The 13,652-nt window shown below is 38.0% G+C and overlaps 1 protein-coding gene across 22 annotated transcripts in view, besides 1 other annotated feature; it reads right to left on the minus strand.

Moving 5' to 3' along the window:
- The window catches only part of ANKS1B (ankyrin repeat and sterile alpha motif domain containing 1B), a 1,250,151-nt gene that overhangs the window by 638,991 nt on the left and 597,508 nt on the right, over positions 1-13,652 (minus strand). The window lies entirely within an intron of this gene.
- Positions 8,409-8,508: a silencer, noted in NCBI's record as "silent region_4758". NCBI's record gives its function as "represses an Ori minimal core promoter by ATAC-STARR-seq in GM12878 lymphoblastoid cells {active_cell/tissue: GM12878}" and the evidence as "EXISTENCE:reporter gene assay evidence [ECO:0000049][PMID:35858748]".

Here is a 13,652-nt window from a genome sequence, read left to right on the forward strand (position 1 = left end):
TAGTGACTTGGCGAAAGTGAGAAAGAAAACTACCTTTGAGAAAGGGTGGACTGGATTAAAGAATGAAAACTTTCAGCCAAATAGTAGAGAACTTTGCCTAAGAATGACTTAGAACTTTGGTCCACTTCAAGGAAAGGAAACTAAGCCAGAATGTAAATCAATGCATTGCTTCTTTCATTGAGAAAGTCATGTAACAAAAAAAACACCAGCTGAACTAACCTGGATGCTTAGTGATGTATTTGGATTTACACCATGCTGCCAGTTCCTTACAATTTCAGTCTCAGTAACCCTGATCTAGCTTAGGTTGTTTTAATCCAAAGAATGTGCTGATTGAGACTTTTTATTGGAATAACTAGAATTTGACACATGATTTCCAGAAGTATAGAGGTTCCCAGAAAATACATAAATGAATGGAAAGAATAGTACAGCAGGCCCTTGAATAATGTTGTTTCATTCAAATGTCATTTCATTATAATGTTGGTGAGGAAAAAAAAATCTATTCCCAGTTAGAGCCACTGTCTGTGTGGAGTTTGCAGGTTTTCCCCGTGTCTGGATGGATTTTCTCTGGGTATTCTGGTTTCCTCCCACATCCCAGAGATGCACATGTTAGGTGAACTGGTGTGTCTACAGGGTCCCAGGCTGAGTGAGTGTAGGTGTTAATATGAGTGTACCCCGTGAAGGGACAGCATCCTGTCCAGGGTGCATTCCCATCTTGTACCCTGAGCTGCAAAGATAGGCTCCGAAATAATAGAGTAAATAATTGTCTGGCTTGTTTTTATTAATCTTAAATGTATGTATAGTTCACATTTATTTCAATGTTTAATATGGGAAGTGTTTTGGTCTTTATTCAGAAGTTTGGTGATGTTTTAGTAACCAGAAATATGCCATAGAAGCTACAATTTTCTAGCTGAACAAATTACAGCAATATAAGCTTTCTTATGGTTATCTTAAAAGATCTTATGGTTATCTAAAAGATCTTAAATCACACATCTTCTTTGTGTTTCTGGTATGCCAAGTTTTGTTGTTTATGGGTTTCAATGTGAATTTGTTTACTTATTTATTTTATTTTTTTACCTAAGATCCAGGAACTATAGATCAATGTAAATTAAATAAAAAATTGACTTGGATTCTTGTCCTTGATTAAACTGCAATTCATGTGTTTTTGAATTTTTAAAAGTAAATTTTCTGTTGTAAAGTAATAATGACGGCTACCTCCCAATGGGACACATTCTGTTTTCTAGAGTCAATGAATTCAAGTCCACTTGGAGTCTATGAGTTTGGATCACCTTATCTTAAAGGCTACTTGGTGAACAGAGTTGAAGTTTTAAGATAATCCGTTAGTTGAGTTAAAAAAGCACTTGGGTATATCAGGGCTTCTTAACTTCAGCACTACTGACATCCTAGAGCTAGATAATTCTTTGCTGTGGACAGTTCTGTACATTGTAGGATGTTTTCAGCAGCCCTGGTCTGTATCCCTAGATGCCAGTAGCAATCTTCCTTAATTGCCCAATATGCCCTGGGAGGAAGGGGTAAAATCACCCCAAGTTGAGAACCACTGGTGTATATCATTGCTATAAGGGCATTGGTTTTTAAACCTGACAAAGCTGAGCTCACCTCTCAGGTCTGTCCCTTTCTTACGTTGATTTGGGAAAGTTACTATTTTCCTTGTCTGAGAAATGTTGATATCTCCTGGGAATTCTTGAAGAGATTAGAAAATGTACTTAGCTTCATGACTCACCTATAGTAAAAACTCAACAAAGTAATCATTGTTAGTAATAGTATCATAATTCCTAAATCCTAAATACAGATTTTCTGATCTAAATGTGCAAATAATAACTAATCAAATTTCCAACTGTGTTATTTGACAAAGGTATAATGAACTAAAACTCTAAGACATGTTAAAAAAAAAACCCTAAATACAATAATTTCTAAATGGGACAAAGGCTTTATAGCTAACTCTTTGAACTTGAAACTATTTTCAGAAAAATGACTGGAGTAATGTTGCTTTCCATACATAACTGTTGAGGAAATGTACTAACACAGACGAGATCAAACTGAAAAAGAATTATATGTCCAATGTTCTAGTCCTAGAAAGAATACACACACTTCCTCTCTCTTCCTCTAAATCCATAGATGTTAGCAGTGAAAGATACTAAGAAAATGAAGAACTAGAACGTGGAATATTGTCACATGGAACTAACATAAGAAGTAAAATGTAAATGAAGGAATTTTATACATGTGCATTTCAAATGATCTCGACCACAAAATCAGAGAAATGACAGACGAATACATGAATTATCAAACCATTCGCTGTTCAAAAATAAACTTCTGAACTTTAGTGTTTGCTTAATGGAAAGTTCTTTCTTTTCTTTACTCAGTTATGACCTCAGACATGCATCAGAACTCAATGCATATGATAAAACATTATCATGCCAACTCTGTGGATACGAAAAAAAATGCATGAGTGGAGTGACATTTAAAATGCTGATTTAAATTCCTTAGCATAAATTTCAACCATCTGGGAATTTTATTTGCTTTCCTCTTGGATCCTGTTGCACACTCAGGTGAGCATAGCTGTTATCCATAAACGAACAGTTGTTTTGAAGGGGCAGTTGTACAGTCTCTTTAATACCAAGTTCACTTTATCTGGGGTGTTCAGATAGTGCTTTCATTTTCAGGTTTGTGGAAAGGTGAAGAGACAAAAAGCTCAAATGCTTTGTTAGGAAATGCTGCTGAGGAAAGGAATCCTGATTATTGCTTTGAACTTCAAAGTATATCAGTAACAGGGTCTCTTAAAAGGAAGTCTCTTGAGAGTTCAGATTACAGTGAATAATCTTAGAAATGTTCCTGATGAAATTAAATTGCATGGTTCAAGTAATGGGCTACTCTCCCATATGAGCCTTGCCATGATTAAAACTGCTTTAACACTAAATCGCACATGGATGCCTTGTAAATACAAGATATTTAACAAATATTTCTCTTGATGACAGTCTCATCTCACCTCATTTCAGCAAATTAAAGTAAGTTGCCACGGCTTTAAAGAAGTCACACAGCTAGTTAATTGCACCGTTTGTCCAGGAAACTCATTCTCCTGAATCAATCCCAGTACAGCTCTGGGTTGGATTGATTAAATCATGGATACATTGATTGTTTTAATGAAAAAAGTTTACATGTTCATTTAATCTAAGACAACCTGCACCTTACACACACACACACACACCCCACCCACACACCTATCTTTTTTTTTTTTGAGATGGAGTCTCGCTCTGTCGCCAGGCTGAAGTGCCGTGGTGCGATCTTGGCCCACTGCAACTTCCGCCTCCCAGGTTCAAGCGATTCTCCTGCCTCAGCCTCCCAAGTAGCTGGGACTACAGTCGCGCGTGACCAGGCCCAGCTAATTTTTGTATTTTTAGGAGAGACGGGGTTTCACCATGTTGGCCAGGATGGTCTCTATCTCTTGACCTCGTGATCTGCCCGCCTCAGCCTCCCAAAGTGGTGGATTATGGGTGTGAGCCTGAGTTAACTAAAATGTTGAAAAGTTAAGGGAATTGGTCATTATTCTTCAGCATATCATTCTTGAACAAAATGCGGTTTCTATTATACTCTGGCTTTTGTGGGGCTAGCAGTATCTGAAGAAACACTGCAGAAAACATTGTAGACAGTTTTATTTCCTAGGAACATCAGTAAGATTTCCACAATATAAAAACTTAAAAAAATATTCAGAGCAAAAATAATTAAACTACCATAAAAGTGTTCTTTGCCAACGAATTGTGACTAGTACAAAGCATTCAGTCATAATAAATCTTTTAAGCTTTTCAAAAGCAACTCCAGAAGCTAAGTTTCAAAATTTGTTTAGACAAAAGCAAATTTTTAAGAAAAAGAGTGTATATTTTCTTCAAGCTACATTGAAGGCATTTGCATGTTTAAGTACCAGTGAACCATTTGTTTATGTTTAAAAATGTTTAATCACGTTAGTGTTTTTTTAGTTTGATTTTATTTTCCAAAGATGGCTACAACAATATCTCCCATCCCATACTTTCTTCTAGAATCTTGTAAATTTCCCATTAAGAAATACAATCTGATTCCTGCCCCCTTAAACCTGGACAGGTTTGTGACTTGCTTGTAACAACAATACAAGATTTCCCAAGCTAGGTCAGAAAAGGTAGTACAACTTTCACCTTATAGATGGAATACTCAGGCCATTCCTAGCCTTTCCAGATGGCAAACAATTCTTTAATTAAAAGAGAGCCTCAAGTCAAAGATCAAATCCAGGGTGGGACTATAAGATCATTTGTGAAGACTTCAAAAAGATCTAAGGCTATACCTCATAGATCATTTAAGAACCACAAAAGGCTCTCTGAGGATCTTAAAAACATGCCTCATAGGTCCTCCCTGTTAAACAATATAGGGTTTCTAAGTATCTAAGGAAGTGTCTTTCATCAGACTTACAGGGAACACAAAATAGAGAATGGATTATCTTAAAGAGATTTGTGACTGTGGCTTTTGTTTAATGGACTGAAACCCAATGAGATTCATAGAAAATCCACGAAGTTCTTAAGAATTGTGTTGCTGAAAACACTGCCAGTTTAAAAGAGAAGGCCGGGCATGGTGGCTCATGCCTGTAATCCCAGCACTTTGGGAGGACGAGGTGGGCAGATCATGAGGTCAAGAGATCGAGACCATCCTGGCCAACATGGTGAAACCCTGCCTCTACTAAAAATACAAAAAATTAGCTGGGCGTGGTGACATGCACCTGTAGTCTCAGCTACCCAGGAGGCTGAGGCAGGAGAATTGCTTGAACCTGGGAGGCGGAGGTTGCAGTGAGCCGAGATCACGCACTGCACTCCAGCCTGGCAACGGAGTGAGACTCCATCTCAAAAAAAAAAAAAAAAAAAAAGAAAAAGAAAAGAAAAAGAGACAGTACAAAATGAAAGGAAGCCTCTGAATTCTAGAACTGCTATAGGCAGGAAGCAAACTGAGAAGATTTAGTTTTATGCATAGGTCACTTATTATAACAATAAAGAAAAGATTACTCAAAGAAAGTAAGACTCCAGAGGGCAGAGCCAAAAGTCGTGGCCAACTCTCAGAGAGTAGAACCAAACCCTACTGACAAAACTGGCAACACGTACCTGGCTGGACTTCAGAATTTCTATTGGCCAGTGACTTCTATGTACCTATACTCTTCCATCCATTTGTAATGGAAGCATCTATTGTGGTTAACCTATGCGTCTGGCCTTTACATGATGGATATGTGGGAGGCACCAAGAGGAACAGTACTTGAATGCTTTGCTTAAGGAAACTGACTTAAGGAGACTCAACTGCAAAAGGACCTAACTTAATTAGAGAAATAAAAGGTTTGCTTCTCGAGGTCTATTTACAGACTAAGAATTACAAAATAAAAGATCTAGTGTATGTGGATTAATAATTTTAATAAGCGAAAGTGGTATGTACTTTCTAAAGTATATCACAAATGTGATATAAAGAGATAATTGAGAGGCAGAATAATGTGTTGGTCAAAGTGCAAGCCCTGAATCAGAATGGATGGAATCAAATCATGGCTCCACTCACCTCTAGTTCTATCAATGAAGGCAAGTCAGTTATATGCTCTGTGCTTTCATCCCCCATTTGTAAATCAGACATGACAATAGTACTTACCTAGGGTTGTTGTGAGAATTAAATTAGTGAGAATATGCAAAACATTTAGAAAAGTTCTTAATAATTATAGAGATAATTTACCTACAAAAATCTAATTGACAATGATGACTTTTATTGCTGAAAGGAAGGAAACTTTTAACTCCTCTCAAATTACTGGGAGTTCAAAAATGAATCTTGTTGAGTGAAGAAAATTGCTACAGAAGACTTTGGAAGTGATTACACAAGTACAACATAGTAAAGCTAGAATCTTCTGCCACTTGTCAAAATAAACTAAAAATAGATGAAGAATAATAAACACTAAGTTGTGAATCCTAGTGTCTACTTACGATAATTTAATGACAATAAATCTAGGCAGATCTACTGGGTTATGCTAAGACATTTTCCTAGCTGTATCTAATTTGATTGACTTTTTCTGTTTAATTAGTGAATATTATAATTATGTGTTCTGAAAGTTGTATGAATTTCATACCATCAAATAGCACTAATGCAAAATAGAGCAAAATATCAAGACTTAGAGTCTCTTTTGTGAACTTGCCTTCTTGCAAAGAATATAGTTAACTCCCTGGAGTAATCCTTATTTGTCTACATAATGAATGCTGTGGGAAAATGAGGCACTTCCACTCTTGTTCTCATCGGCATTGATATGACCTTGTCTGATTTAGTTGAACCAAGGGCATTTTCAATAATTACAAGCTCAGAGGTCTACCACAGATCCTCTCATGGGAGGATTACTTAATGTAGGCAAAGTAGATACAACCCTTCATGTCTGGTCCATTTTAATTTATTGGTTGCCTAAATATTCAATCAGAGCTTTCACCAGCTATATTTGTAGAGCTGCTCAAATGTTTTTATAAAAGTAAGCACATAGAAATTACAAACGGTGCTTCTTTTCATTCTTGCAGGCTGACACCTACAAAATATATTTTGTTAGGTTATAAATAGTTAAAAAACTTTTTTGAGCTACAATGCTTTTAATTGCTTAATTTTGTAGTTTTTAGAAACATGTTCTAGAAATATTTAGGAAACAATATCACATCCTGTGGCATCAAGAAAGGCAGGAACTTTGTTTTTCTAATTAATAAAGAAGGCTAAAAAGAGTCAGTTGTTAAATAGGCAATGGGAAACCATAATTGTAATCCATGGGAACCACGGATTTTTGCTGGAATATAAAGGATGATTTAAAATTAGCTTAAGATTTCACTGATTCTTAATGTATTTTGTTGATATATTGATTAGAAAAAAATTACATTTAGCCACACCTAAACTTATTTTGGCTTGTTTATCAAATTTTCAGATTAATTCTTGTTGATCAGTTTCCTTTCCTCCTTCCTTCCTTCCTTCCTTCCTTCCTTCCTTCCTTCCTTCCTTCCTTTCTCATGCTCCACAACAAACATTTGTTAGGCAACAGTTCATTTACTAACACCATAATAGGTGCTAGAGATTCCAGTAGAAATCATAATCTCTGTCACCATGAAGTTCATGAATTTACAATAAAAACAAAACCAATTAACAAAGGTGGGCCCCGAATTCAATGACTGGCCTCCTTATAAGAAGAGGAGAGGATACAGAGACCCAGAGAAGAAGGCCATGAGAAAACAGAGGCAGAGATTGAAATTATGCTGCCACAAGAGGAGGAACACCTGGAAGCTGGAAGAGGCAAGAAAGGATTCTTTCCTAGTGCATTTGGAGGGAGCATGGTCTTGCTGACTCCTTGATTTCAGACTTCTAGGCTCCAGACTTGTGAGAGAATAAATTTCTGTTGTATCAAGCCACCCAGTTTGTGGTACTTTTTGTGGCATCCTTAAGAAACGAATACAGACATGTTCACTTTGAAGTACCTTTGGGACAACTGAGTCGAATGGTCAAAAGAAAGATGAATTCAGGGATTTGGAATTCCAGCTTAGGCTGGAGATAAAACTTTGAGGATTATCAGTATGCGATTTGGCAATAAAGCCATATAAGTGGCTAAGATCATCCAACGCACTGTGTAGAATGAGACAAGAATTCCATCTAGGGCCATGAAGAACAGTACCTTTTAGGAAGAGACCAAGGTGGAGGTGCTCACAAAGGGAGACTGGAGAGGTAGAAGGAAGACCAGGATAGTGGAGGGGCACATGCAGAGGGTTTCAAGGGTTAAGTGCAGCAGACTGGTCAAGTAAAATAAAGACTTTGTCCGTTGCATTTAGGAAAAGGCAGTTGTGGTGACCTAACTGAGACTTCAGTGCAAGAGTGGAGTAATTTTCAGGAATGACTGAGAGATCCAAAAGTGAGTCCAGGAAGTGTAGACAGCTCTTTCCAGGGGATTGAATGTGAAAGGTGGAAAACCGACTGCAACTAGAAGCAAAGAATGAAGAAGACCTTTCACATTGCTTAATTGTCACTATTTGGATTTTCTTACAGATGATTATGCTCTTAACTAATGAGACACTTTGATGTTTAGACAATGATGATAAAACAAAACAGTACCTCATTTTAATTGTTGTTGTCCACAAAACTGCTCACTAAATTATGGCAAAGCAACTAGAACATGTTTTACAGATACAAATCTAAAAAGTCAGTAAATGAGAATCTGTTGTTGGTAGAAATTTTCTGCATAATTTACAAAGAGGGAAATTATAGGCAGAATAATGTTTTGAAATGCAAAACATCTGACTCATAGTAGAGATGAAGAGCAGTGAATGACCCATGAGAGAAACTTATCTTATTGTTCACACACAGGGTAGAGAAAATTCAAACCGATAAGGCATCAGGCAAAGCAAAACTGCTTTAACGAAGGTGAGTCATAATGCCACTCAGGGAGATGAATCAGGTGCCCACATGTCCAATCACTTTCATAATTACAGCTCCCTACATCTTTTAAATTAAAACTGAAGTCAGGTAACAACTAATGTCCCTTTAGAACAAACTTAGCCAAATGGAAATAGACAGAGTCCTAAGAAGTAAAATGAGCATATCAAAGAGATGCAGCTTTTCTGGAAAGGAAAAAAAGAAAGAGGGGCAGTGGCTCACACGTGTAATCCCAGCACTTTGGGAGGCCAAGGTGGGTAGATCACTTGAGGCCAGGAATTCGAGACCAGTCAACATGGCAAAACCCTGTCTCTACCAAAAAGACAAAAATTAGCCGTTCATAGTGGCACATGCCTGTAGTCCCAGCTGCTCCAGAGGCTGAGGCACAAGAATCACTTGAACTTGGGAGATGGAGTTTGCAGTGACCTGAGATCATACCACTGCACTCCAGCCTGGGTTGCAGAGTGGGACTCTGTATTAAAAAAAAAAAAAAAAAAAAAGAGAGAGAGAGAGAGAGCTTGCACAAAAGCAAGCCATCCCTTTAAGTGTAATGTCATGACTGCTGGCCCCAAAAGACTTTTAAATGCTTTTATTGTGCCCTCTGTTCCAACTGATTTTGATACCTTCCCATCATGGAATCACTACAGTAGTTTTTGCTCAACATGAAGTCTTAGATATATTATACCTGAGGCCCCTAAGGTTTCCTGCTCAAGCCAGGAGAGTAAGCAGCCTCCCTGCCCCCTCCCACCCACTTCCCTTCTAGCTTTCACAGTCAATCAAAAGCCTAGTAAATTCTACATCTTAGACATCTACCCTCTGTCCTTTCCCAGAGATACAGCCTGATCTAAGCTGCTACTGACTTACCTGTAACAACTAGTTTCACTCATCCTGGTTGCCTCCTTTAGGCAAAGCTACAGCACAGCTAGCGTGAACATGGAAACATACAAATCAGATATCATTCTGTTGCCTAAACCTTAGATGGTTTCCCGCCAAGACCAACACAAGCTTATATGAGCCTCTGTGAGAATTTTGAAAAAAAGGTAATTGCCCCTACTATGGGATAAGCAGAAAAGAGCCACATTTCAGACCCGATTTACCCTGTGGTTAGGCTTATTTATGTGGCGATGAAAATGCAGCAGACGTTGCCTGTAGAATAAAATCCAGACTCTTTAAAATGGCTTATGAAGCCCTCTACAACCTGGCCCCTGCCAATCTCTGCAGTCACCTCTCACCATTCTTTGATCTTGCTCTTACAGATCAGTTTCAGTTCCTTGACCATATCATGTTCTCACTTATATCTTTGCCAAACCTGCCACTGTTTGGAATAGTCTTCCCTCCTTTGTGACCACATAATTCCTGCTCACTTTTCAGGTTTTGACAAAAATATTACCTCCCTTTACAGGTCTTCCCCGATGCCCTTGATTAAAAATGCTTTCTTGCCATACACTCCCCCAGATCACCTAAATGTGTCCTTGCATAACAGTCATTAGGATTCATTGAAATTGCTGGCATAGGCTGAGTGCAGTGCGCATGCCTGTAATGCCAGCACTTTGGGAGGCTGAGGCAAGTAAATCACTTGAGCCCAGGAGTTCAAGACCAGCCTAGGCAATGTGGTGAAACCCCATCTCTACAAAAAAAAAAAAAAAAAAGAAAAGAAAAGAAGTAACTGGGCATGGTGTTGCATGCCTGTAGTCTCAGCTACTCAAGAGGCTGAAGCTGGGGGGTTACTTGCGCCTGGAAGTGTAGGCTGCAGTGAGCTGTAATCGTGCCACTGAATTCCAGCCTGGGCAACACAGTGAGACCCTGTCTCAAAATAAGAGAGAAATTGCTGGTATAACGTCAACATTTTCTAATGAACTCTCAGCTCAAAGAGAGCAGAGATTTTGTCTGTTTGCTCCCCACTGTATTATCTGTATATAGTAATGTGTCTGATGCTTAGAAGCTCAAGAAATATTTATTGACTGAATAAATAATTACATGAATAAAAAAGCCTGGAATCCTTGTTACAGTATAGTGGGAAGAGGTCTAGTCCAGGCTCTTCCACTAACTTATTGGTTCTGTGACTGTAAACAAGTTTCCTAACCACGGTGAGCCTACTCTTTAAATGTAATCTTTAAAATGTTGACAATACCGTTTGTCCTATCTACCATCAAAATTGTCATGAGGCTCAATGAAGCTGAGGACAACTAATGTGTACTGACAGCCTACCACGTGCAAAGCTTTATGCTAGGTACTGCCATCTGTATTATCTTGAAAAATAGAAGAATCTCTGAAAGACTGTCATTTACCCAAAGATCATTTTTCATAGTAAGTGGCAAACTAAAGACTTAAGTAGGAATTTCTGTGATTCCAAAGGCTCTTTTCTTCTCGTCCCTTCCCTTCCTTTCCCTGCCCTGCCCTGCCTTCCCCTCCTCTCCCTCCCCTCCCCTCCTCTCCTCTCTTTCTCCTTCCTCACCATGTTCCATCAATATCTATCTGATTAATACTTCAAGTCACAGGACAAGCATCACTCGTTTTGTGAAACCATCTCTGATTCTTCTGACCAGATTTATGTGCTCCTATAACTATGTTCATATTGTACTTACTATAATAACATTAGTTTTAAATTTTTTTTTACCACAAAGTTTTTGTGAGAGGGGAGCATGTCTTCCCACTATTATATTATTTCCAGTATCTTGCCTGGATATTAACATTTTATAAGTACTAAAGGAATATTTGTTAAATGAATGAATGAACTTACTTTCTCTGGCTTTTTTAGAAAATTTGATAATACACCTAATTTTTGTTCAGTGTTTACAGTTTTATATTTAATTTATAAACAGCAATAATTGAGGCCCCAACCACAGTAGCTCATATGCTTAAAGTTGTTAAGATAGTATTATGAACATACGACATCAGCTCTTGCCCAATAATAGACGTTTGGTTTTAGATTAATATATTTAAGATTAATCTTAAAGTGCAACTAATAGGCTGAGTGTAGTGGCTCACGCCTGTAATCGCACCACTTTGGGAGGCCGAGGCGGGTGGATCATTTGAAGTCAGGAGTTCGAGACCAGCCTGGCCAACATGGCAAAACCCCATCTCTACTAAAAATACAAAAATCAGCTGGGCGTGCTGGCACGTGCCTGTAGTCCCAGCTACTCAGGAGGCTGAGGCACAAGAATTGCTTGAACCTGGGAGGTGGAGGCTGCAGTGAGCTAGGATTGTGCCACTGCACTCCAGCCTGGGCAACAGAGCGAGGCTGTGTCAAAAGTAATAATAATAATAATTTTAAAAGTACAAATAATTATTGCCTGAAAGGGAATATGCTAAATATGAGATACAGGGAAATGATTCAGGTTCACTTCAAATTTAATATTCCAGTTTTAATTTGATATAAGGCAACCTCAGGGAACAAACATGTTGTTAGTAGCAAACTACTTAGCTTAGAGAACTTAACATAGTATTTATTGTAATGTTCCCCTGTTCTAGAAAATCATAACTAATAATAGAAATAAAACCCAGCTGCATATCAATGGCCAAGAACATATCAATGGACTAGAAAATATGCTAAGGAGACTAAAACAGACCTGAACATTTCCTTCAAATTTAAATAAAGTAAGTACTTTTTACTTATTACTAAGATCTGAAAGATATATTAAAAATACTTTGAAATTACGTAACATGTGATCTAAATTGTTCATCTAAAACAACAGCTTGTCAAAATGCTAATCACTAGGAACCGAGAGGTTTGTTTAGTTAATAGTGCTTCCTTTCACATGTGCTTATGTGCTTTTCAGAAGGAAATCTGAAATCTATTATTAGCTTTCCATAGTCAACTCCTGATTATCCGAGTTAATAAAATAGAACCCAGACATCTGTGCTAATAGAGAGAACACAGACATACAATAGACCTGATTCAGATCCAAAAAAGCAGATAACACAAAAATTACATCTTTGACTCCGGAATAAATGTTGATTCTTTGTAGCATATGTGCCTTCCTAATAACACTCCATTAGTTTTTCTACTATAGCACAGGGGAACTATGCTACGGAAAACTCACCTACACATGTAAGTGAGAGTTCACTCTAGATTGTGTGAACGCATTGTTAGATGTTAGAATTCTGTCAGTGGTATTCATTCCGCACACTGGATTCTGATCATCACTAATATGTTGAAAGGTCTCATTCTCTTCAATGCTCCAGGCCCTAATACAAGATTCCCAACCTCATAAATGGCTCCTGTAGAAAGTAACAACATCAGGGTGAAGAAAAAGTCAGTTATGGGAAAGAAAAAAAAAAGCCATGCTATGCTTTGTTTTGACCTCGTGAAAGAACAGGGATCACTCAAGTTTTTACTGTTATTTTCAAAGTCAAGCCTTAGATACTTGTTCACTAAAGGGGAAGAAAATTATAAATTATTGTACATTATTAGATACATGGCTTTCTAGAGTGAAATTAATGATTTTGGAAATGCTGGGCCAATTACTTTATAAATGTCTAAGAAAAATGAATATCTTCCTCATGTAAATAACTGCAATCTTTTCATCTGTAAAATCAGATCAGTTATGTAACAAAAACTTACATTAAAAATGACATATCTCCCTGAGGCAACTTATGAAATAACGAATGAAAGGTAGGCTCATGCTTCCGAAGAAAGCAATGTAGTTCAGAAAAAACTACAGAGCTCACCTTACTATATACATAGCAATAGGCACATAGGTGGCAGAATCCCAGCAAAGCAAATATTCTTTCAGTGATTCAATAATTTGCCATTTATTGAGCACCTATTATAAGGTCAGTCATCATGCTGGACACTGTGGATACACTTTATTTGAGACATGGTCCCTGCATTTAAGGAGCTCACAGACATGTAAATAATTTTGTGTAAGAGATGCAATAGTCGAAGCATGTGAAGAACGCTAGGGGGAGTATGGATGCAAGAATTGGTGGGAGTTAAAGAAGGCTTCACAAAGGAGGTTACTGGCATAGACATAATGTTTGTACCCTCCCAAAATTCATATGTTTAAATACTAACTCCCAAGGTGATGGGATTAGGAGTGGGGCACTTGGGAGGTGATTAGGTCATGAGGACAGAGCCCTCATGAAGGCGATTAGTGCCCTTATTAAAGAAGCCTGGCCGGGCGCGGTGGCTCACGCCTGTAATCCCAGCACTTTGGGAGGCCGAGGTGGGTGGATCACAAGGTCAGGAGATGGAGACCATCCTGGCC

The sequence above is a fragment of the Homo sapiens genome, chromosome 12 (genome assembly GCF_000001405.40).
Source record: "Homo sapiens chromosome 12, GRCh38.p14 Primary Assembly".
NCBI lineage: Eukaryota > Metazoa > Chordata > Mammalia > Primates > Hominidae > Homo > Homo sapiens.